The sequence below is a fragment of the Homo sapiens genome, chromosome 7 (genome assembly GCF_000001405.40).
Source record: "Homo sapiens chromosome 7, GRCh38.p14 Primary Assembly".
NCBI classification, from domain to species: Eukaryota; Metazoa; Chordata; class Mammalia; order Primates; family Hominidae; genus Homo; species Homo sapiens.
In genome coordinates this window covers 72,255,271-72,280,127 of record NC_000007.14, presented here as the reverse complement: position 1 = coordinate 72,280,127, position 24,857 = coordinate 72,255,271, and the positions used below count along the sequence as shown (strand labels likewise).

The 24,857-nt window shown below is 44.4% G+C and overlaps 1 protein-coding gene across 15 annotated transcripts in view, besides 1 other annotated feature; it reads left to right on the top strand.

The window, feature by feature from the left end:
* Positions 1-24,857, top strand: part of CALN1 (calneuron 1) — a 724,789-nt gene that overhangs the window by 224,152 nt on the left and 475,780 nt on the right. For all 15 annotated transcript variants that reach the window (XM_017012677.2, NM_001363460.1, XM_017012683.2 and 12 more), the window contains one exon: positions 1,318-1,442. In XM_017012677.2, the coding sequence (XP_016868166.1) occupies positions 1,318-1,442 (125 nt within the window). The remainder of the gene's footprint in view (positions 1-1,317; positions 1,443-24,857) is intronic.
* Positions 14,066-14,645: an enhancer, noted in NCBI's record as "OCT4-NANOG hESC enhancer chr7:71730468-71731047 (GRCh37/hg19 assembly coordinates)". NCBI's record gives its function as "activates a minimal SCP1, AML or CMV promoter by ChIP-STARR-seq in primed H9 embryonic stem cells {active_cell/tissue: H9 hESC(primed)}" and the evidence as "EXISTENCE:reporter gene assay evidence [ECO:0000049][PMID:30033119]".

The following is a 24,857-nucleotide window of genomic DNA, read 5'->3' as shown; positions in this document are numbered from 1 at the left end:
AAATGAGGGTTTGACATCCGGGTGGAAATGTCTGGCACTTAGCTGGGTCTGCTTAATGGAAATAGCATGTAGGATGCTGGAGTTCTAGAACAACTTCTGTCACTAACTGGCTTTGTGCTCCTGGTTAAACCTTTTAATTTTCAGGGGTTTCACAGGTTGAGTGCTGCCCAGTTCACTTTCCAGAAGCTCCGATACAAAGATGTTCTCTACCCACTCCTTGTGATTGACTCCTGTGCTTCCTGCCTGTTGGCCCTAATTCTGCTCAGAGGTTTATCCATCCTCTTAGTCCCCTTTGCTAGATGGGGAACCAGAATGTGAAGCATTCGGCGTCTTGTTCAAAGTCACGGAGAGCATCATTAGACAAGTTGGGCCAGGAGCTATGCTCTTTCTGCTTTGGAGAAGATAATCTTCCCATCTGCCTTTCCTCTTTCTTGTCGTTGCTCATTCTTCCATTCTCTTCCATTGTCTTTGCTGTCCTTTTATCTCACATCTCTTTTTTCCGTAGCCTGGAGCCTCCAGTCAGCCTTGCATTAGTGGAAACTTCTAAGCCCCATTGATGACCATCTGGGTTCAGGAGCTTTTTTCTATTGGCGTAGAAGGATGCTTTAACTTTGTGTGAGAGTGCTGGAAGTAGCTTCGTTGTGGGACACCTGAAGGCGTCACTCCTGTTTCCAGCAGGGCAGGTGTGATTAGCATTTCAGAATGTGTGTGCTCACACACCACTCATGTAAGCAGCATCTGCATCTCAACCAGGTTTGGCAGCTGCTGCTTGAGATGCAGAGCATTGCATGTACTTACTTAGAGCTTGGGCATTTCCTACCTGTTTTGAGTGCTGTGTGAGTGCAATGCCTATATTATCTGGGAGAAATGAGACATTTGGATCTCTGCTTGATCACAGACAAGACATCTAGTCCCTGGGCATCCCTACACTTCTGGGATTCTCAGTCCTTCCTTACAAGCATCAAGTGAGAATTTATCGGGCCAAGGAAAGGAGTCAAGGATATTGCCGTTTGCAAAGAGATAGTTCGATGGTGATGTGGTGTGCCATGATTAACAAGGACAACATCGTTCAAATTCATAATTAAATGGGGAAAATGAAGTAAGATGTACAGTGAAGGAATGGGAAAAACCTGAATTCCTTTGGAAATTGCTCAGGTCATTGGGACCCTGGAAATATCTTGACTTTCCCACTAGAAATATTACTGCTATTTTTAAAATGACACTGGCCATCTGAAAATCAGATGGTCCTTTAAGAAAGGAAAGGAAGAATGAATGATGATGTCTTTCTTTTCCCCTCCCCTGTTCTCTCTTGGGCAGGGAAAAGATGCCGTTCCACCATGTGACCGCCGGCTTGTTGTACAAGGGGAATTACCTCAACCGATCGCTCTCTGCTGGCAGTGACAGCGAACAGCTGGCTAATATCTCCGTGGAGGAGCTCGATGGTAAGGAGCCTACCCTGTTTGGGGGGATGGCCCCCCTCCCAGGGAGGTGTTTCTGGCTATTGTGAAGCTCAATTGAAAGCCCTGGACTTTGGCCACTCCTTGGCAGTTGTGGCCAAGTGTAGCCATGGCATAATGGGAAAGAGTTCAGAGACAAAGTTTTGCCCAAGTGACGTGTGTGTGTGTGTGTGTGTGTGTGTGTGTGTGTGTGTGTGTACAGACCTGATAGCCTGAGCAATCTATGGTGGATATTTCGGTTTCCTTGGATAGTGACTGGGGGGATAGCCTTCACCTCTCTTAAAATGTGTTTTCCATTTTCCGGAGTCTTTATCACCAATGGAATTGTCTTGTTTCTGTGTTGTCACTGACAATGGAGTCCATCTGCAGGGGAGGTTTAAGCCCTGTTAATGGCTGTCTCTTGACTTCTGGCCATGGTGCTTTGAATCCTGTTCAGATCAGAATCATCTGGAAGCTTTGTCTAGGTGACAGTGGATAGCAATTATTTTAATTGCCTCTGTTTCTTTGTAACACAGTACAGCCCTGGGTGCTCAAGGCAGGGGTTAGGGATGGACATAAACCTGGGAACGTGATGACTAAATTCATCCTAGGACTGTGTCTCATTGTATCTTGGATAAACCAATCCTCTAATTAAAAATAGGAAAAACAAGTCCCCCCCCCCCGGAATAGAGGATTAGGTTGATTTGGCCTGATGTTTTTACCTAGGTACTACATCGGCTGAGGTCAAACCAGAATCAGTTTTCCCTCGTGTTTTTGAATACTTTGTTGTTTGTAATAATATCATTTTAAGGCACAAAGTTTAAATTTACTTTCTCAAGTAGAGAAGTCAAAATTACCCCAGTTGGCCCACATATTTGCTTTTAAGTGTAATGGTTCAAATCAGTGTGCTTTGTATGTGCACATTAGGGAGCCTCATTTCTCCCAGAAGGAAGATGGAGGACATTTGGCTCTGAGACAGTGAAGCCAAACTTGCTTCACAACAGGCAGGAAGTGAGGGAGGTGAAGAGGAGAGGCCATTGAATAGCTTCTCCTTCTCTCATCCATTTTGCTTGTGTGCTTATTTAAATGCTTGCTTATTTACATGAATGAGCAGGGAGGCAGCAGAGGATGTGGCCCCGGTGGGCTGGGTCCAAAGAGAGTCTGGGGGATGTTTGAAGAAGTGGAGTGATTGGGGCAGAATCAAGATTCCTAGGGATAGCGGCTGCTCACTGTGGTCTGGACAAAGACTGGTGGCCTGAGAGGAGAGCAGGAACCCTTACATCTTCTGGTCTTCAGTTGAGCAAAAGGTGTGCTGGTGCAGGACACAGAAGCAGGAAATTGAGCTCTGACCTCCTCCAAAGTGAGCCCATACAGGCGACCACAAATTCAGGCTAAGGCTGCCCTTGGGTGGTGTCTTGGTCTGTTCAGGCTGCTGTAACAAAACACCATAGACTAGGTGGCTCATAAAAAACAGAAATTTATTTCTCACAGTTTGGGAGGCTTGGAAGTCTAAGATAAAGATGCCAGCAGATTTGATGTCTGGGGAGGGCCACTTTCTGATTCATAGATGTCACTTGGGTGGCGTCTTGGTCTGTTCAGGCTGCTATAACAAAACACCATAGACTAGGTGGCTCATAAAGAACAGAAATTTATTTCGCACAGTTCAGGAGGCTTGGAAGTCTAAGATCAAGGTGCCAGCAGATTTGATGTCTGGGGAGGGCCACTTTCTGATTCATAGATGTCACTTTTCTTGCTGTGTCCTCATATGGTGGAGAGAGTGAATAAGTTCTTTTGTGCCTTGAGTATGTAAGGGCACTGTCTTAGTCTGCTTTGTGTTGCTATAACAACATAGTACCTTCTGGGTAATTGATATAGAAAAGAACTATATTTGGCTGATGGTTCTGAAGACTGGGAAGTCCAAGTGCATAGCACTGGTATCTGGTGAGGGCCTTCATGCTGTTTCATCCCATGACAGAAGGTGGAAAGGCGAGAGAGGGTAAGAGCAAGAGAGGGCTAAACTCACTTTTATAATAGTCCACGCTCTGGATAATGAACTCCCCCCGAGATAATGACATTAATCCATTCATGAGGGCAGATCTTTCATAGTCAAATCACGTCTTAACCATCCCACCTCTTAGCACTGTCATAATGCTAATCAAATGTCAATGTGAGGTTTGGAAGGGACATTCAAACCATAGCAGGCACTAATCCCATTCATGAGGGCTGCTCCCTCCTAATCACCTCCTGAAAGACCTCACTTCTTAATGACATCACGTTGGTGGTTAGGTTTCCACATAGGCATTTTGGGGGGACCCAAACATTCAGCTCATAGCAGGTGTGTTTGGGAGGTGAAGTGAGGCCCAGGCTTTTCCTACCTATGGGAGTCTTCACTGTGAATAGACATTAGGGCAGGTGGTACATTAATGTGGGGTGGATGTTTGCTTGTGTTTATTTGAGTAGATCCTCCAGGCTCAGTCATCAGCAGGAGGGACTGGGAGTCCCCCATGCGTGCAGGACCCACTGAGTGGCCCTGGCTGAGAACTGGGCAACACTATCTATATGTTTTGGGCAATTATTTAAGAGGTTAAAAATCACTAACCAAATGGAGTTTGGAATCATCTGTGGCTTTCCATATTCTCCCCCCTTCCTCCTTCCCAACTTTGCCATGAATGATCAAGAGATGATTTCTCTGTGACTTTTCAGTGCAATGGCTTTTTTCACTGTTAAATTCAAGCTCTGCTAAGGCAACTGTTCAGGGCTACTGTGGGGGTGCATGGCTTTTCAAGAGGGCTGCTGGCTGGATTTCAACCCTCCTCTCCCTACTTGGGTGCCCTGGTGAAATGCCCTCCACTTTCCTGGACAAACAGAAAAGCATATAAACTTGCTATTTTAATCAGGCAAAGGCAGCTTGAGAAGCACTGAAATGCACTTTTTCAGTATGTAGATTAGCGAGAGTAATTCTAAGAGCCCTCCAAGCCCAGGCTGGCAGCCTGAGCATTGGCAGCCTTGGGGTAGTTTATTGAGTGAAGTGGGGGCTTTATAAAGTCCCGAGATTGGCTGGTGAAGATGCTGTGTTTGTCCTTCAGGAGGGTAATCCAGGCTCTCAGCCTGGGGAAGGGCCATTTATTTTCTGACAGAAGATTCGTTCTACTTATTTATTTAGTTTTTGCCAAGGCGAACACTGAGTTATGACTGTTCCTGGTTTATTACAAGCATCTCGGGGCTCTGGGCAGGACAGTGCGGATGTGTTCTGATTTTAGAGCAGGCACGCAGGGTCTGGAAACCAACTGGCTTGAATCAATTCAGATGACTATGGATTGGTGTTGGGGAAGCCAGTTTCCAGGGCATAGTTTGCTTGCTGTTCTCTTGGGCTGCTGCATGGCAAGGTGACCCTAAAGTTCTGCTGGTTGGGGGCACTCATTTACCCTCAGAGGACAGGTGGTGCTGCACTGGGAGTTGATGTGTTGGACACTGATGGACATCGCAGCATCCTTTGTGGTCTGGCTGCCTTGAGCATAGGCATTAGTTGGGTGCTATCCTTATCTGCTGTCAAGCTCCCCACCCTGCAGCCACTGCAGCCTTCTGCTTGTGAATGGCTACAGGTTTCCCCACCTGTTCGTGTTTATCACCAATGATGGAAAATCCCTTTCCTCCAGTGTAAGGGCCAAAGGTGTGCACTTCGTGAATGGTTATCCTCTGAAAACAGGCATGAAAAGGACCACTTGCCACGCAGGTCATTTTCAGCTGCAATTCCCTTCTGGGAAGTCCCTATTTCTTCTCTTTACACAAAGCTCAGGAGGGAAACATGCAAAGCTGCTTCAAAATGATCAGATTAAAGTTGGGAATCACCCAGCCAAACTCAGTGAAGGTGGATTGATGGAGACAGTCATTCATTCATTCATCCATTTTTATTCATTCATTAAACGGATATTTACTAGGTGGAGGAGGAAATGCCTTCTAGGTAGTAGAGGAAAATCAAATAAGCATAATATTCATTGCCTCTTTCCAAGGAGCTTACGTCTATCCAGGAAGTTTATGCATATACCAGATTTATTAGCAATATCTTATACTTTTAGAGTGCATTATATGGAATTCTATTAGATATATGCAGTATGATTGTTGAAGAATAGTTTTCTTAATGCTATTTATTGAATAATCTCGTGATACTATCTTTTTTTTTTTTTTTTTGAGACAGTCTCACTCTCACCGAGGCTGGAGTGCAGTGGCGCGATCTTTGCTCACTGCAACCTCCACCTCCCAGGTTCAAGCTATTCTCCTGCCTCAGCCTCCCAAGTAGCTAGGATTACAGGCATGTGCCACCACGCCTGACTAATTTTTGTGTTTTCAGTAGAGACAGGGTTTCACCATGTTGGCCAGGCTGGTATTGAACTCCTGACCTTAAGTGATCTACCCACCTTGGCCTCCCAAAGTGCTGGAATTACAGTCGTGAGACCCTGTGCTTGGCCTTGTAATGCTATCTTAATCTTAAACTAAATTCACCTCCATCTGAAGTTTACCTCTTTTCTTTAATATATAATGTTCCACTGTATATAAATATATCTTAATTTATTTTCCTATTTTATTCTCAGTGGATATTTGGGTTGTTTTCAGTTTGGAGCTATTAGGAAATAGCTATTAGCTATTTTCCAGTTTGTGAAAATCTCTTCTGTTTCTGGTCATAAATTATTTGTATATATATTCATAATAAAAGTCTTTTTCTCTACGTCTTCCAGATGATGGTAACTTTCTTTTGCATGAAACTTTTTTTTTGTATAATTTATATTGCTTTTTTCTATTATGCTTTGTAACTCAACATTATGAAGTTTTTTTGTAGGCTCAGTATTTGTCAGTAAACAAGGTTTGTAAGGAGTCTAACTTTGGCCAGGCACAGTGGCTCATGCCTATGTAATCCCAGCACTTTGGGAGGCTGAGGCAGGAAGATCACTTGAGCCTAGGAGTTGGAGACCAGCCTGGGCAACATAGGGAGACCCTGTCTCTACAAAAAATTAGCTGGATGTGTTGGTGCATGCCTGTAGTCCCCACCACTTGTGAGGCTGAGGTGGGAGGATCGCCTGAGCCCAGGAGTTTGAGGCTACTGTAAGCTATGATTGTACTACTGCACTTGCACTTGAGCCTTGGTGAGAAAGAAAGACCCTGTCTCTAGGGGGAAGAAAAAAAAAAAAAAAAAAAGAATCTTGCCTTCTTCACTTTATCCCAAACCTGAGATAATATTCCCCACCGCCCCCGCCCGCCGCTTTTTTTTTTTTTTTGAGATGGAGTCTTGCTCTGTTGCCCAGGCTGGAGTGCAGTGGTGCAATCTTGGCTCACTGCAACGTCTGCCTCCTGGGTTCAAGTGATTCTCCTGCCTCAGCCTCCTGAGTAGCTGGGATTATGGGCATGCACCACCACGCCTGGCGAATTTTTGTAATTTTAGTAGAGACAGGGTAGTCGAGGCTGGTCTCGAACTCCTGACCTTGTGATCTGCCCACCTTGGCCTCCCAAAGTGTTGGGATTACAAGTGTGAGCCACCGTGCCTGGCCTAAGCCTTTTTATCCTTAGACTGGTGAGAGATTGATATGCATGCCGTCTCCAGTTTCCAGAAGACATTCATGTAGCCCATGGCTCTGGGCAGAGGTGGGGGTCTCGGTGGTTGTTCCTGCTGTCTTTGCGCCCTATGCCACAGAATTCTCCATCTATGTTGTTTGTTCTTCCTCTCTCCTTCTCTCCTTCCCATTCCCAAGCTACTCTTGTACGTTTGGTCATCCTAGGAACATTTTGGCTTTCACCTGTGCTGTATAGATAACCCAGGATGGGACATACCAACCCATGGCTGCGGTTAAGTTGTGTTCCCCAAATGAGCTTAAAAAAGGGTGCTGCTGAAGTGGGTTTGGGTTGAGGAATAGATTCCCATGGAAAACAGTGGCTGTGAAGTAGGGAGTGACTGCATGATTTACTGTCAATGTATTGTGGTGAGTCAGTCTTCCTTATGTGCCACTGTAGTTCCAAGTGTGGGTGGAAATTGTGTCTCTCCAATTTCATTGGCGGGGCAATTAGCAAAAATTCCCAGCCTCTCACATGTGTGCATGTCTCAAAATTAATATTTCTTTTTCTTTCTTTCTTTTTTTTCGTGGAGACAGAGTCTGGCTCTGTCGCCTAGGCTGGAGTGCAGTGGTGCGATTTCGGCTCACTGCAGCCTCCACCTCCTGGGTTCAAGTGATTCTCCGGCTTTAGCCTCCCAAGTAGCTGGGACTACAGGCGTGCACCACCACACCCAGCTAATTTTTGTATTTTTGGTAGAGATGGGTTTTTGCCATGTTGGCCAGGTTGGTCTCGAACTTCTGACCTCAGGTGGTCCACCTGCCTCGACCTCCCAAAGTGCTGAAATTATAGGCATGAGCGAACACACCTGGCCTCAAAATTAATATTTATACTGATATACTCTTCTGTATATCATAGGGGGTATTTTGAGTATGGGAATAGAATACCAGACTGCCATCCTTTGAACCTGGGGTTCCATTTTAGTAGTTGACCAGTGTCACTTTGACTATTCCAGAGTCACTGCTCTCCTGCAGCTCAGTTTTCTCTAGGAGCCCCTATTTGCCTCCTCTAGATGACTTTTTTTTTTTTTTTTTGACAGAATCTTGCTGTGTCACCCAGGGTGGAGTGCGGTGGCACGATCTCAGCTCACTGCAACCTCTGCCTCCTGGGTTCAAGCGATTCTTCTGCCTCAGCCTCCTGAGTAGCTGGGATTACAGGTGCCCACCATCACGCCCGCCTACATTTTGTATTTTTAGTAGAAATGGGGTTTCACCATGTTGGCCAGGCTAGTCTTGAATTCCTGACCTCAGGTGATCTGCCTGCCTCAGCCTCCAAAGTGCTGGGATTATAGGCATGAACCACCATGACTGGCCTAGATGACTTTTAATGTTTATTCAGGACTTTCTGCAGCATCTGGCACTGTTGTTCACACCTTAGTTTTTGCAGTCCATCACTGCCTTGGTACCCATGTCGTTACCTAGATCTCCTCCTTCCTCTTTTCTACATATTTGTCATCTCTGCATTCATTGTGTACCCCTCATCTCCTGCCTGCTGAAAACTATATATATATATATATATTTTTTTTTTTTAAAAGGCAGGCACAGTGGTTCATGCTTATAATCCTAACTACTCATGAGGCCGAGGAGGGAGGATTGCTTGAGCCCGGGAAGTCAAGGCTGCAGTGAGCTATGATTGTGCCATGGCACTCCCTCAGAAAAAAGAAAACAAAAAGAAATATTATAAGAAAGAATGGAAGATAGATATTCACCATGCATTCCTAAACCTCTATAGATGTGAAATTTTTAAAAAAGATTAAAGAAGTATGAGGCACACTCTTTGTCTCCTGGGGTTGGTTTTTGTTGCCTTCTGCCCGAGCATCTACGTGCTGATGACCTCAAGATACGTATCTCCAGTCCTGCCTCCCTCTTGGATTTTAGACCTAGTACCTGTAGTCCTGTGCAGGTGTCTCACAAGTCCCTTAAACTCCAAATATCTAAAGCCAAAATGGATTTTCTTTATTCTTGAAAACTGCCTCTCCTCTGGGATTTTTCCCAGGAAATTATATTGCCAGTCAGCCACAGCAGTCATCTGGGAATCATCCTTGTTATCTCTTGGTCCTTACATACAATCTTTAGTCCCATATATCTTGACCTCTCTTCGTATTCTGTAAGTCTTCCTTCCTCTCTGACCACATTGGTATTGCCTTGGGTCAAGTTTCCACTTCCTAGACAACAGCATTCACTGGAGCTGATCTTATTGGGTTTCATCTATGATCCACCCACATGTCAGTTCAGTTCGATACCATTGGAGGGATGCTACTCAAATGCACACTTAGTTAGGTTATTCCTTGGCTTATAACTTCTTTTTTTGTTTATTTTTAAGACAGTGTCTTGCTCTGTTGCCCAGGCTGGAGTGCAGTGGCACAAACATGGCTCACTGTAGCATTGACCTCCTGATCTCAAGCGATGCTCCTGCCTCAGCCTCCCAAGGAGCTGGGACTACAGGTGTGTGTCACCACACCTGCTAAATTAAAAAAAAATTTTTTTTAGAGATGGGGTGTCACTATGTTGCCCAGGCTTGTCTTGAACTCCAGGGCTCATGTAATCCTCCCACCTCAGTCTCCCAAAGTACTGGGATTACAGGCATGAGCCACCACACCCAGCCTTGGCTTATTAAAACTTTTATCTTCTTTTTTTGTGTATATACAAATAAAAATACATTTTAAAAAATATTTCTTTAGTCTTAAAAAATTCAAATCCACAGAGGTTTTTGGAAAGTAAAAGTGAATATCTGTATATCCTTCATTTATTTAGAATTTATTTATTTAGTTTTTTGAGGCAGGGTCTTGCATTGTCACCCTGGTGAGTGCAGTGGTGCCATCAGAATTCACTGTAGTCTTGATCTCCTGGGCTCAAGTGATCCCCCTGCCTCAGCCTCCTAAGTAGTTGGGATTATAGGCATGATCCATTGTGCCTGGCTTACTTTTTAACATTTTTCAGCATTTAGGGTTTTTTTCTCTCTCTCAACACACACACACACATACATACACACACACACACACGGAAACACCCAAATTTTTTTCAGATCTAGAATTTTCATTTGGTTCTTTTTTATAGTTCCCATTTCTTTGGTGAGATACCCTATCTGTTTAATCATTAAGACAATAGTTTTCTTTAATTCTCTGATTAATCATTAAGACAATAGTTTTCTTTAATTCTCTGAATATACTTTTCTATGTTTATAATAGCTCTTTAAAGTTGTATGTGCTAAATCCAACATCAAGGCTCTAGGCCATCCTGGGATTGGTTTTTATGGACTTTTTAAAAAGACTGTGGTCAGATTTTCTTTTTTCTTTGCATGCCTGTGAATATTTGACTATAGACTGAACATTGTGAATCCTATGTTAGAGTGATTATGTGTTATCTTTCTCTGAAGAGTGCTGATTTTTGTTCTAGTAGGTAATTCAATTACTGGCTGACCACCTTAAATTTGTGTAGGTTCGTTTTTACGCTCTGTTGGGGGGCAAATCAGTGGAAACTGACCATCTCTTAAGAGGTGGTCTTTCTAGTGTCTTAGCTGGATGCCTGGAGTACTAATGAGGTTTTTCCACTATCTGCTGCTTCAGTTATAGTATTTGTTTTCTGTTCTCAACCTCATAGCAGCTGCTTCCTGGTTAAGTCTTATTTAAAATCTCACCTTGCATGTTCTCACTCATAGGTGGGAATTGAACAATGAGAACACATGGATACAGGAAGAGGAACATCACACACTGGGGCCTGTTGTGGAGTGGGGGCAGGGGGGAGGGATAGCATTAGGAGATATACCTAATGTTAAATGACGAGTTAATGGGTGCAGCACACCAACATGGCACATGTATACATATGTAACAAACCTGCGCATTGTGCACATGTACCCTAAAACTTAAAGTATAATAAAATAAAATAAAATCTCACCTTGCATCTGGATAACATAGGCTTCAACCAGATGTTCATGGGGAACCCACACATGGGCTTCTGATGTTCCCTCTCTGCATAGTGTTCTTCTCTCTCCTGTCCTACCCTGCAGATTCTAGTTCGTGCAGCTACTACGTGAATTGTGGTTGGGAAATTGTCCCCAGGCAGAGAGCCAGGGCGAGCATGGGGCTTGTCATGTGAATTTCCCTTCTCCTTGCAATTGTAATCTTGTGCTGCCTGTTGTCATTTGCCTGAAAACAGTTGCCTCATATATTTGGTTCAGTTTTATTGTGCCTGGCTTATGGCACATGGTGGGAGGGTTATTCTTGCATAAGTTTCTTTGTCATACCCAGAAGTATGTTACAATTAGTTCTGTGTGTGTGTGTGTGTGTGTGTGTGTGTGTGTGGCAGGGTCTTGCTCTGTTGCCCAGGCTGGAGTGCAGTGGTGTGATCTCAGCTTACTTTATCCTCCACCTTCTGGGCTGAAGTGATTCTCCTGCCTCGGCCTCCCGAGTAGCTAGGACTACAGGTGCATGTCACCATGCCTGGATAATTTTTTGTAGAGACAGGGTTTGCCATGTTGCCCATGCTGGTCTTGAACGCCTGGGCTCAAGGGATCTGCCTGCCTCATCCTCCCAAAGTGTTGGGATTATAGGCATGAGCCACCATGCTCATCCTGTTACAATTAATTTAATTTTATTTTGTTTCCCTGAATTAGTTAAAATTGTCAACCATTATAGCACTTTTAACATTTTGCTTCTGCTTATCATTCTTAAATAGCTCTCTACAGCCTACAGCCATGTTACTGGTATCTAGACTTGGTGACAAAGTGTATGAAGTCCTGTGTGGCTGAATCCCTTCTTTTTTTTTGTCTGCTTCAACTCCCTGCTTACCCTCCACACGATCCCCTGCTGCCTTGAGCTCCTTCCTCCTTCTCCGCTTTTGTTTAAGCTTCTTGGGCCAGACATATTCTTTGTCTGCCTGGGAAATCCCTACCTATTCATTCAACTTTTTAGTTTCAATATTGTCACTGTTGTCATCATCATAATCATCATCACAGCTAAAGCTTATTGAGTGCTTACTATGTGCTAGGCACTGTTCAAAGTGTTTTATGTGGATTAACTCATTTAACCTTTTCAATCATCCTATTATGCATATACTATTAATTTTTATTTATTTATTTAAAAAATTTTAAAGACAGACTGTCATTCTGTTGCCCCGGCTGGAGTGCAGTGGCACGATCATAGCTCACTGCAGCCTCACACTTCTGGGCTCAAGCAATCCTGCCATCTCAGCCTCCCGAGTAGCTGAGGCTACAAGTGCACAACACCACACCTAGCTAATTTTTAAATTTTTAGCAAAGACGAGGTCTTGCTGTGTTGCCCAGGCTGATCTCAAACTCCTGGCCTCAAGCAATCCTCCTTCCTCAGCCTGCCAAAGTGCTGGGATTACAGATGTGAGTCAACACACCCGGCCCAGGTACTGTTACTAACTACATTTTTGCAAACGTGAAAAATCCAGAAGTTAAATAACCTTGTCCAAGGTTACATAACCAGCATCTGCTGGACCTGGGATTCAAGCTGCCACCTGGCTGCACAGCCCATGCCATTCACTTTCATGTACTGAATCCTGCTCCCTGTGAGATGAGATCCTGTGTGCTTCCCTTGTACCCGTCATGTCACCATCACATATATCTCTGCCACCACTGTGACACATGGGTGAGCACTTGGCTGATTAATCAAATTTCAGTGGGTGGAGAGATATTTTTAAAGCTCTGTGTGAGCCCAGAGTGCTCCTTACTGAGAGGAGAGGTGCCCTGCAGCCCAGGAAAGGCTGGCCATGAGCATGACTTTATGCCAGGAGGGGGGCTGGTTTCTGTGCAGTAAGCTCTGGAGGGCCCTCTCCACCTGCCACCCATGTGGTCCATCCTACGTTTTCTTGTAATGAAGGTCCCCCGTCCCCTACTGTTTTATCCCGTTTTTGCCGGTTGATTTCAGGATCCCAGAGGCAAACTCAACTTGCCTTTTTTGGAGACACTTCTCTCTACAGGCTTTCTAAGAGGAGGTTTGAAGGAGGCAGAAACATTCCTGTTACAAGAAGACAAGCTCACAACTCTTATCTGATGGCTCAAAGTTCTCTCCTCCAGAGGAAGCCTAAAACCTACGCAATGAATGAGCCACATCATCATCCCAATAAGAGGGGGAGTGTCAGATATACAGCTCTGCCCTGAGCTGGGAATTAGCTTTACAACATACGTCTTTTATCTGCCTGGGTACCTTCCTCCTGGAGGCTTGACCTGCCCTTTGAGCCTTGAGAAAGATATCTTTTGTGGAGAGTTGTGAGGCTTTGTTAGCAGGGCAGAGCAGGGATTTCTCTGATGGTAGCTGCTTCCAAGGGCCCATTCCTTAAAGAGGCACTTGCTAAGTCTTCTAGTAGTTTCCCGCATGTTGTTCTGAAAATGCATTTTGATAGCTGTGGCCAAGAAAGAAACCCGAGTACCTACCTTCCCTGCCAGCTTCATGCTATTAATTTGTAATTTATATTCTGCCTGTTTCCAAAAGCGATCAAGGCATCATAAGATAAAAGAAAAAACACAACTGCAAAGGCTGTCAGAATAGAAATAGAAAATAGAAATCCACACACAGGGAGGAAGGAAAAAAATATGACAGCCCCTTAAAGGAACACATTGGCTCGGAATGTGCATGACATTAGCTGCAAATTTCCAATTGGTTGAGGCAAAAAGTTAAACACCAGTTACCTGATTCCAGTGATGGCCTTAAAGTGTCTATTGGAAGAATGGTTTTCTCAACTATATTTTAAGCAGGAACTCTTTGCCCCATATTCAAATTATCTAATATACAAGTATTTTGTATTATTTCAGACACATTGGTGGCTTTCAACCTTACCTCACTATCAAATTTCTGTGGACTTTTTCAAAACATACTTCTTCTAGTAATAGTAAGCTATCATGATGGTGATTTTCAATGAGGAAAGAGGTGCTCATACTAGACTTTCTAGATGCAAGGAGATGGGGGTACATTGTAGTTTAGTTTTTTTTTTTCTTCCTGAGATAGGATCTTGGTCTGTTGTCCAGGCTGGAATGTGGTGGTGCCTTCACTGCTCACTGTAGCTTTAACCTCTCAGGTTCAAGCGACCCTCCCACCTCAGCCTCCCAATGGCACAGGTGCGTGCCATTACACCTGGCTAATTTTGTTTTGTTTTTTATTTTTGGAGAGATAGGGCCTCACTGTGTTTCCCAGGCTGGTCTGGAACTCCTAGGCTCAAATGATCCTCCCTCCTTGGCCTCCCAAAATGCTGGGATTACAGGTATGAGCCACTGCGCCCAGCCTTTGTAGTTTAGAAAGCCTTCCCAACAGGTGATCTAAATACTGGCTTTAGAAAAATGTGTCCTAGGTTCTTATTTCTAAGAACCCTGCATGAGATAGCAAGCAGAGGGTGGTATCTTGTTATGCAAAAGAACCTGCTGCATCTTAAAGCATGACTTTGACTTGAGCTATTTGAGGAACAGGAGTAACCACGTGTTTATCTCAGTCATAAAATCACCTGTATCTTGTTCCTGGGGAACCTTTCATTTTCAACAGAAATGCATTGTAACAGATCTAGTAAGCTAATTAAGCCCCATCGTGCTCCCCCAGATAACTAAATGAGTTAACCTGTTGAGTAGAGTTGTTGAACATTATCCATCTGGATGCTGAAGGGAGTTTGCCAAAACCCATCATTCCGATGTTGGCTTCACTGACACTATTGTTTCTCCTTGCAGTAATTGGCCAGCAGCAGGTTCAACTGTTCCCTGGGACTACTCAAGAATTTGATATTAGCAACATGTTCTAGCAGCAATGACTCACTGGTCTTCTCTCTTCACAGTGGCATCCAGGGCATCTAAACGTTGCTCCACTCATCGCAGGTGATGAGTTAGGACACACCCATTTAAAATACAAATTTGCTCTATCAACATGGTCATTAATATTTACTTCTCAAGAAGGAAGAGTGTTGAATTTACATCCAGACCTGTATTGCCATATTACTGTGTAACAAATGACTCAAAAACTTCCTGGTTTAGCTTGGGCGTGGTGGCTCATGCCTGTCATCCCAGCACTTTGGGAGGTGAGGCAGGAGGATAACTGGAGGCCAGAAGTTCGAGACAAAACCCTGTCTCTACAAATACTACAAAAATTAGCAGGTACATGGATGGAGCTGAAGGCCATTATCCTTAGCAAACTAACGCAAGAACAGGAAACCAAATACTGCATGTTCCCACTTGTAATCTGGAGCTAAATGATGAGAACACATGGTCACATAGAGGGGAACAATACACACTGGGGCCTATCAGATGGTGGAGGCAGGTAGGAGGAGGGAGAGGATCAGGAAAAAATAACTAATGGGTACTAGGATTAATACCTGGGTGACGAAATAACCCTGTACAGCAAACCCCTATGACACAAGTTTACCTATGGAACAAATCTGCACGTGTACCCCTAAACTTAAAAGTTGTTAACAACAACCACAAAAAATCAGCTGGGTGTGGTGCTTGCACACCTGTGGTCTTGGATACTCAGGAGGCTGAGGCTGGAGAATTGCTTGAGCCTAAGAGTTCCAGGTTCCAGGATGCAATGAGCTATGATCGCACCACTGCACTCCAGCCAGGGCAACAGAGCGAGACCCTGTCTCAAAAAAAAAAAAAAATCCTGCTTATTATTTTTGAGCAGGAAGTGTTGTAGCAGATTAGGATCTACAGACAGATCTATAATTTTAAAGTGTTGGAGATTTGTCCTTTTTTGAAGATATATTTTGTTCAAAGATCTTAACTGGCTTTTATATGCAGTTCTGGAGTTGGGCAACACCTCATTCTATAAAGTGAGTGTTCTTATGAGCTGAGCAGAGAAGTTTGGTTTTATAGACAGAAAAGGGCTGAGGAAAGCAGAAACAGAAAACAAAAAAAGCAGATTGATTGTTTCAGAGCGACTTTTCCTTGTAAAGGTTAGAGCAGAGGGACTTCCTTCACATGCTGGCTAAAATGGGCTTGCTTAGGGTTTGGCTGCCAGCTCTCCGTCTCCTGACTTCTCAGAAGGTCATATAAACCAATTAGTTTTGGCTCGGTCGTGTGGAACTTTTAGCATGAGGGACTCCATTTTGGTTTGGTTTATTGGGCCGCGTGCAGGAGCTCAGTCCAAACCAGTGGCCCTCATCAATTTCACTTAATATTTATGCAAAGCAGTTCAGCAAGGTAAAAGGAGGGGAGTCAACAGGGAAGGCTGGATGGCCTAGACCCTTGAAGCCTGCAGGAGGACATTAATTTGGGGGGAATTTGTTTCATCCTTGAGGCAGTGCCTAAATATATCATGCTTATCCCTGGGAACAAACACAGTGAAATGATAGGCACATAGTGACTGCTCAAAAATACTTGTTGAATAAATGAACACTAGTTCCTCTGATAAGAGAACTTTGTCAAAAAATGAGCTCATTAGGCTGGGCATGGTGGCTCGTGCCTGTAATCCCAACACTGTGGGAGGCGGAGGAGGGAGGATTGCTTGAGGCCAGGGGTTCAAGACCAGCCTGGGCAACATAGTGGGCAACATGGCACAGGCTGGGCAACCAGCCTGTACAAAAAATTAAAAAGTTAGCCAGGCATGGTGGTGGGTACCTATAGTCCAAGTTGCCCAGCAAGCTGAGGGAGAAGGATTGTGTGAGCCCAGGAATTTGAGGCTCCAGAGAGCCACGATCATGTCATTGAACTCCAGCTTGGATGACAGAGTGAGTCCCTGGTTAAAAAAAATAAAATAAAAAATAAAATAAAATAAAAATGCATGGTTGAAGATGCATGGCATTTGACCTACTTCACCACCCCACAAGTTTTGATTTTCTCACCTGTACCATGTGGATAATAATATATACTTTATAGGGATAATAAGAGATAATACATGCAAAGTGAGGAATTACTATTCCTATTATTGTTCCTATCTGTTGGGCACTTACTGCATGCCAAATACACACAGTATGGGAACAATAGCAGGAATAGTAATTATTGTTATTGTTATGATGATGATGCTTATTATGATGGAACAAACCCAGACAAAGGACCACCACCCCAACACTGGGGCAAATAGTAGCTCTTTAGAGGAGAAGCAAAACACTGGACAGGGTCCAATGCAATTGTTCTGCCAGGACAGGCCCACTTCACAATGTAAATGCCTCTAACTGGAGAGGCCTGTCAGTAAATGGAAGAATCTGGACAACCCATTGTGAGTCTTTGTGTCTTAGCTCTAAGCGCATAAGGATACCTTTCCTACTCCCCCACTTCAACCTCAGCACTTTGTATCGCAGTGGCTGTCCTCATTGGTTTGGAGGTAACAGACTTAAATTGCCAGAGAGAGGAGAGGGAAGAGGAACCAATAATAGTTTCCAAACCTTGAATTGTCCTGAGGGATAGAACCAGGATCCTCTTAAAGAAAACGTAGTACATATACAACATGGAATACTGTGCAGCCATAAAAAGTGAAATCATGTCCTTTGCAGCAGCATGGATGCAGCTGGAGGCCATTATCCTAAGTGAATTAATGCAGAAACAGAAAACCAAATACTCCATCTTTTCACTTATAAGTGAGACATAAACATTGGGTACACGGGAACATAATAATGGAAACAATAGACACTGAGGACTTCAAAACAGAGGAGAGAGGAAAAGGGCACGTTGAAGAACTACCTATTTGAGTAGTACTGTGTTAACTGTTTGGGTGATGGTTCCATCAAAGCCCAAACCTCAGCATCATGCAATATATCCATGTAACTAACCTGTACAGGTTACCCCCGAATCTAAAAAGAAAAAAGAAACAAAAAAGATCCAGGATCCTCTAAGACCTGGGTTTCGATGTGGGAAACATCTGCAGATGGCTGCATATGCAGGCCTTCCAAGTCCTCCGTGTGATGCTCTCAAGGATCAGGAGGGAACGTGTCCATAGATCTCCTTTTAAAGTTAGTAGATGTGTCCTATAATACTTATTCCTTGGGTAGGAGCTGCGGTGGTGATGGGACATGGGGAGGCTGAAAGCAAGGCCGGTTGACCAGAACTCACTCCCCTATGGAGGGTGACACTGGCCTCTCTTTGAGTTGAGCACACTGGAAATATTTCTCTGCCTTCCTCTCTAAAGCGGGAGGTGGTGTTTGAAGAGCGAAGCTTTCTGAAAATGGGAAGAGCCCAACCATCCGTGTTGCTGGTGGTGGATGTTAGCATGCCTATTTTCAGGAGTGTTCCTTTTCCCTGATTATTCTCACTCCTCTTGCGGTTTCCCTAACGTCATCTGGTTAACATTCAAGGCCATTTTTGTTTCAGTGGTGCTTCCAAACTCTACTCATCAACTTCAATATTAAGAGTTTGTTTGTTCCACTAAAGTTTTATGGTGATGGTGAAAAAAGTATGTGGTGGTGGTGTTTTTTTCCTGTAAAGCTGCTAAAATAAGCTGGGTGTGGTGATTCATGCCTATAATCCCAGCACTTCTGGAGGCCGAGGCAGGAGGATTACTTGAGCCCAGGAATTTGAGACTTGCCTGGGCAACATAGGAAGATCCCATCTCTACAGAAAATCGTTGAAAAAGTTATCCAAGCGTGATGTGCACACCTGTAGTCCCAGCTATTTGTGATGCTGAGGCAGGAGGATTGCTTAAGCCCAGGACTTTGAGGCTGCAGTGAGCTATGATCGCACTCCAGCCACTGCACTCCAGCCTTGGCAACAGAGTGATACTCTAAGAAAAAAAAAAAGCTTCTGAAATAAATGGTTTCAGGACTGCAGGTGATGCTGGCCTCAGGAGTGTGCCACCATTTACATGCTCATGTGTACGGATAGATTTTTTGTGTTTTTGTTCTTGTTTTTGTTTTTTTGAGACAGAGTCTCGCTCTGTCACCCAGGCTGGAATGCAGTGGCGTGATCTCCGCTTACTGCAACCTCTGCCTCCCAGGTTCAAGCAATTCTCCTGCCTCAGCCTCCCGAGTAGCTGAGATCACAGGTGCGTGCCACCACACCTGGCGAATTTTTGTAATTTTTTGTAGAGATGGGTTTCACTATGTTGGCCCAGCTGGTCTCGAACTCCTGACCTCAGGTGATCTACCCTCCTCGGCCTCTCAAAGTGCTGGGATTACAGGCGAGAGCCACCGTGCCCAGCCTACTGATAGTTTTTAAGCTGGTGCCAGTTGGTGTGTGCTTTGCTGCTGTTACTCTGCTCGTATCCAGTGAAATGAGCCTCAGGGTATGTTGCAGACCTCAACCATCTGGGTGGGAATTTAACATCTCTGAACCTAGAAGCACCGTAGGGATGATAGATCATAAAATTTGGTCTGGTACCCCTGTGCAATTTGTAGGGCACTTTGGAGAGCTTGCTTCTCTGCCATCTGGTGCTGTGGTGGGGGGAAGTGGGAAAAGGGGTGTCATGGAGACAAATCTGAGAACTTAGTGTTTCTTACATCTGTGTGGGGGGCTCCTCAGATAGCCAAGTGCAATGGCTTAGCCAGCACCCACTGGGGGTGTAAAACTTGAGGGTTTCAGGTGCATGATTGATCATGGTTTTGTGCTACTCCCTTTAAGATCCCTTCAGAGGTGCCACTCTTTCTGGGAAAAGTGCCCTGAGCTGCTGCCGAAGCCTCTTGCCAGATTTTGAAGATCCTCAGTATGCAAGTTAAGAAAAATGTTTTAGATTTTGAATCTCCACGACTGTGGTTGATCAGCCTAGCAGCCCAACTCTGAAGTTTTTAACCTGGGGTCTGTGCACCCGTGGAGCTTAACAATATTGTGTGTGTTTATGAGTAGTGATGTTTTTTCTGGAGAGAAGACAGATCTGTAAGTTTTGTCATATGGAGTTCAACAAACGGAGTTTGTCAAAGGAGTTCAACAAAAAGGGTAACATCAGTTGCTAATCCATGCTTCATGAACTGGACTTCTCTTATTCTTATCACTGCACAGGGCTTTTGCTTTATTTTATATTTTATTTTTTCCAGAAACAGAGTCTTGCTCTGTCTCCCAGGCTGAAGTGCAGTGGTGCAATCATAGCTCATTGCAGCCTCACACTCCTGGCCTCTAGAACTACAGGTGTGTGCCATCACACTCAGCTAATTTTTACATTTTTTGTAGAGATGGTATCTCACTATGTTGTCCAGGTTGGTCTCAAATCCAAGGCTTCAAGCTGTCCTCCCACTTTGGCCTCCCAAAGCACTGGAGTGTTTTGCTTTTGGTGGGAAGACTGGACAAGGTATATTGATGCTTGCTGATGAGATCCTTTTTGCATTTTAAAAGGTTGCATTGGTTGTGGTTTGCAGAATGGATTTGAGAGAAGTGGGCCTTGAGGCTGGGGCAACAACCAGAAGCCCTTTTGCATAGTTAGGGGAGAAAGGAAAAGAAAGGAAAGGGCTTAGACTGAGGAAGGAGCAATGAGTTGGGGAGAAGTTGGCATGGGAATTTAAAAATACAGACCCTTGCTGTGTTTATGTTATTCTATTTGATGTTTGCAATAACTGGGAGGCATTGGTGTCCCCATTATACAGATGAGGGAAATTAATGTGAAAGGGATTAAAAGTCACTTGGCCAAGTCACACAACTCATAATTGGTGGGAGTGGGATTCCCGCTTAGCTTAATCAGACTCCAAAGCCCATACTCTTAATTAACTACCATGTTAAATTGTCTCTACTGTAATTCATCTTGATGAGATATGGATGTGGGGGTGAGGAGTGAGGTGTGTGGCCGCTTAACTAGGTAATGAGGTACAGGTGGTGACAACCGCTGAGACCAGGGACAGGGAGTCTGGATAGGGTGGAATGGTGATGAGAACTGAAGGTCATCTTACTGGAGATGTCCAGTGGGTTCTTGCATATTGATTTCTGGGACTCAAAGTGTTTATCCCAGATATACAGATTTTGGAGTCTTCATTATACTTAAGTGATGATAATGAGAAGACAGCCAAAGACCCATCCCCAAGGCCCAGTAGTCTTAATCATGCTTGATCACAAGGTGGTCAATGGTGGCTGGAGAACTGGGAGTCACTGCTTCTCCAGCTAAGTTTCTTCATATCTTTTTTTGATGCATACATATATATATATATAAATAATATATTTTAAATTGAAATGGAGTCTCGCTCTGTCGCCCAGGCTGGAGTGCAGTGATGTGATCTTGGCTCACTGCAACCTCCGCCTCCCAGGTTCAAGCAATTCTCCTGCCTCAGCCTTCCTAGTAACTGGAATTATAGGTGTGTGCCACCATGCCTGGCTAATTTTCTTTCTTTCTTTCTTTCTTTTTTTTTTTTTACTTTTTAGTAGAGACAGGGTTTCACCATGTTGGCCAGGCTGCTCTCGAACTCCTGACCTTGGGTGATCTGCCCGTCTCAGCCTCCCAAAGTGCTGGGATTACAGGCACCCACCACCACACCCAGCTAATTTTTGTATTTTTAGTAGAGACAGGGTTTCACCATGTTGGCCAGGCTGGTCTTGAACTCCTGACCTTGGGTGATCTGCCCACCTCAGCCTCAGAGTGCTGAGATTACAGGCGTGAGCCACCACCCCTGGCTTCTTCATATCTTTTGGCTGTGTTTAACATGCCATGCTTAGTCCCCTAGTTTCCCATAGTATTCTGAAAGCCAAAATCCCGTATCAGAAAGATGAACATGTTGAGTTCAAAAAGTCACCTATTTGTGCTCAATTAATCTGGTTTATTGATTGACAGTGCCCTTGGGTTATTGATTGATGGAGTTCTTCTCTTTCAAACTGCTTGTTTGAATCAGAAACCGGTCTAAACCCAGTAGCTGTCTCCGATTTTAAAGGAAGTTCACTCTGGCTCCTGGCCACACAAATCTCTTTTTCAGGGTATCAGAAATATGCTGTAGTTTCCTCTGCTAAATGGAACCATAAAGAGACTGCAGGAAATCAAAGATTGCCTGCCTATAATTAGGGCTGCCCCATGGATAAGGAGCTTGACTTCTTGCCGGTGAAGGAGCAAATTCCAGGGATTGTGAAATCACACTGAACTTGGGTCAAATCCTGGATGTTTTATATCTCTGTGCTCTTAGGCAAGTTTTTTTTTAAAAAATTCATTTCAGTAGTTTTTGAGGTACAGGTGGGTTTTGGTTACATGGGTAAGTTCTTCAGTGGTGATATCTGAGATTTTGTTGCACCCATCACCCAAGCAGAGTGCACCATACTCAATATGTAGTCTTTTATCCCTCACTCCCCTCCCACTCTTCCCCCTCGAGTCCCCAGAGTTCATTATATCATTCTTAAGCATTTGCATCCTCGTAGCTTAGCTCCCACTTAGAAGTGAGAAAACACAGTATTTGCTTTCCCTTCCTGAGTTACTTCACTTAGAATAATGGCCTCCAACTCCATCTAAGTTGCTGCAAAGGCCATTGTTTCATTCCTTTTTATGGCTGAGTAGTATTCCGTGGTGCACATAACATATACTACATTTTCTTTATCCACTCGTTGGTTGATGGGCATTGAGGTCGGTTCCACATTTTTGCAGTTGCGAACTGTGCTGCTATAAACGTGTGTGCTTGTGTCTTTTTCATAGAATGACTTCTTTCCCTTTGGGTAGGAACCCCGTAGTGGGATTGCTGGATCAAGTGGTAGATCTACTTTTAGTTCTTTAAGGAATCTCCACACTGTTTTCCATAGTGGTTGTACTAGTTTACATTCTCACCAGCAGCGTTGGAAGTGTTCCCTTTTCACCACAACCATGCCAACATCTATTTTTTTTTATTTTTAAAATTGTGGCCATTCTTACAAGAGTAAGGTGGCATCTCATTGTGGTTTTAATTTTCATTTCCCTTGGGCAAGTTTTAAACAGTCACACATCTCAGTGTCCTCATCTGTCAAATGGGGTGATATGGTTTGGCTGTATCCCCACCCAAACCTCATCAACAATTGTAATCCAAATTGCAATATGCACGTGTCTAGTGAGGGACCTGGTGGAAGGTGATTGGATAATGGGGGCGGATTCCCCCATGCTGTTCTCATGGTAGTGAGTTCTCACGAGATTTGATGGTTTTGTAAGTGGCAGTTTCCCCTGTGCACGCTCTCTCTCTTGCCGCCATGTAAGATGTGCCTTGCTTCTCTTTCTGCCATGATTGTAAGTTTCTTGAGGCCTCCCCAGCCATATGGAAGTGTGAGTCAATTAAACCTATTTTCTTTATAAATTACCAAGTCTTGGGTAGTGTCTTTATAGCAGTGTGAAAATGAACTAATACAGTGGGGAATATAATCACCCACCTCCTGGGAGGAGGATGTGGCAAGGTGCCTGGCACATGGCAGGGTACTTGGCAATAGCTGAGTATTTAGTACTATTGCTTGGCATGTCAGAGGGAAGGAGTAAGGGAATAGGGCAATAATGAATTTCTTTTATCTTTTCCCAGTCTGTCCAATTAAAAATGAGTTAACTAGGTCAGGCATGGTCATGCATGCCTGTAATCCCAGCACTTTGGAAGGCTGAGGCAGGAGGATTGCTTGAGCCCAGGAGTTTGAGGCTGCAGTGAGCTATGATGGTGCCATTGTGTTCCAGCGTGGGTGACAGACCAAAACCTGGTCTCAAATTTGAAAGAAAAAAAAATAATTGATTGAACAAAACTGGAAAGTGTGAAGGATATTTTAATGTGAAAGGGAAAAACCAAGTCTTATCTGTGAATCCAGAATTTTGGTCATCTTTTTTAGAAGTATGTGTATGTGTGTGTGCATGTGCTTCTTTTTTCTTTTTTAGAGATGGGGTCTTGCTCTTCACCCAGGCTGGAGTGCAGTGGCATGATCATAGTTCACAGCAGCCTTGAACTCCTGGGCTCAAGTGATCTTCCTACCTCAGCCTCCCAAGTAGCTGGGACCACAGGCCCATGTCACAACACCCGGCTAATTTTTAAAACTTTTTGTAGCGATGAGGTCTAACTCTATTGCTCAGGCTTGTCTCAGACTTCTGACCTCCAGCGACCCTCCCACGTAGGCCTCCTAAACAGCTGGGATCATAGGTGTGAGCCACTGTGTCAGGCCAGGCAAGAATTCTTCGAGATGGAATTTCTTGAAGTGTAGGGGCAAAAAAGCCCCCATCTAATAGGACACTAATAATGTCCCCACAAGTTGTGAAATCTTGAAAAGTGCCCATCGCTTCCGTATATCTCTCCTTAAAGAATATTTATTTAGGCAGGGCGCGGTGGCTCACGCCTGTAATCCCAGCACCTTGGGAGGCCGAGGCGGGTGGATCACGAGGTCAGGAGTTTGAGACCAGCCTGACCAACATGGTGAAACCTCATTTCTACTAAAAATACAAAAATTAGCCAGCGTGCTGGTGCGCATCTGTAATCGCAGCTACTCAGGAGGCTGAGGCAGGAGAGTGGCTTGAACCCGGGAGACGGAGGTTGCAGTGAGCCGAGATTGCGCCACTGCACTCCAGCCTGGGCGACAGGGTGAGACTTTGTCTCAAAAAAAAAAAAAAAAATTATTTAAGTGAGCTATGCTGGGTGTGGTGGCTCACAGCTGTAATCCCAGCACTTTGGGAGGCTGAGGCCAGTGGGTCACTTGAGGTCAGGAGTTCAAGACCAGCCTGGCCTATGTGGCAAAACCCTGTTTCTACTAAAAATATAAAAATACTAGCCAAGCTTGGTAGGGGCACCTGTAGTCCTAGCTACTCGGGAAGCTGAAGCATGAGAATCACTTGAACCCAGGAAGCAGAGGTTGCAGTGAGCCGAGATCATGCCACTGCACTCCAGCCTGGGTGACAAAGCGAGATTCCATCTCAAAAAAAATAACAATAATAATAAAAAAAGAAAAGAAAAGAAAAAAGGCTGGGTGTGGTGGCTCACCCCTATAATCCCAGCACTTTGGGAGGCTGAGGGTGGATCATGAGATCAGGAGTTTGAGACCAGCTTGGCTAACGTGGTGAAACCCTGTCTCTACTAA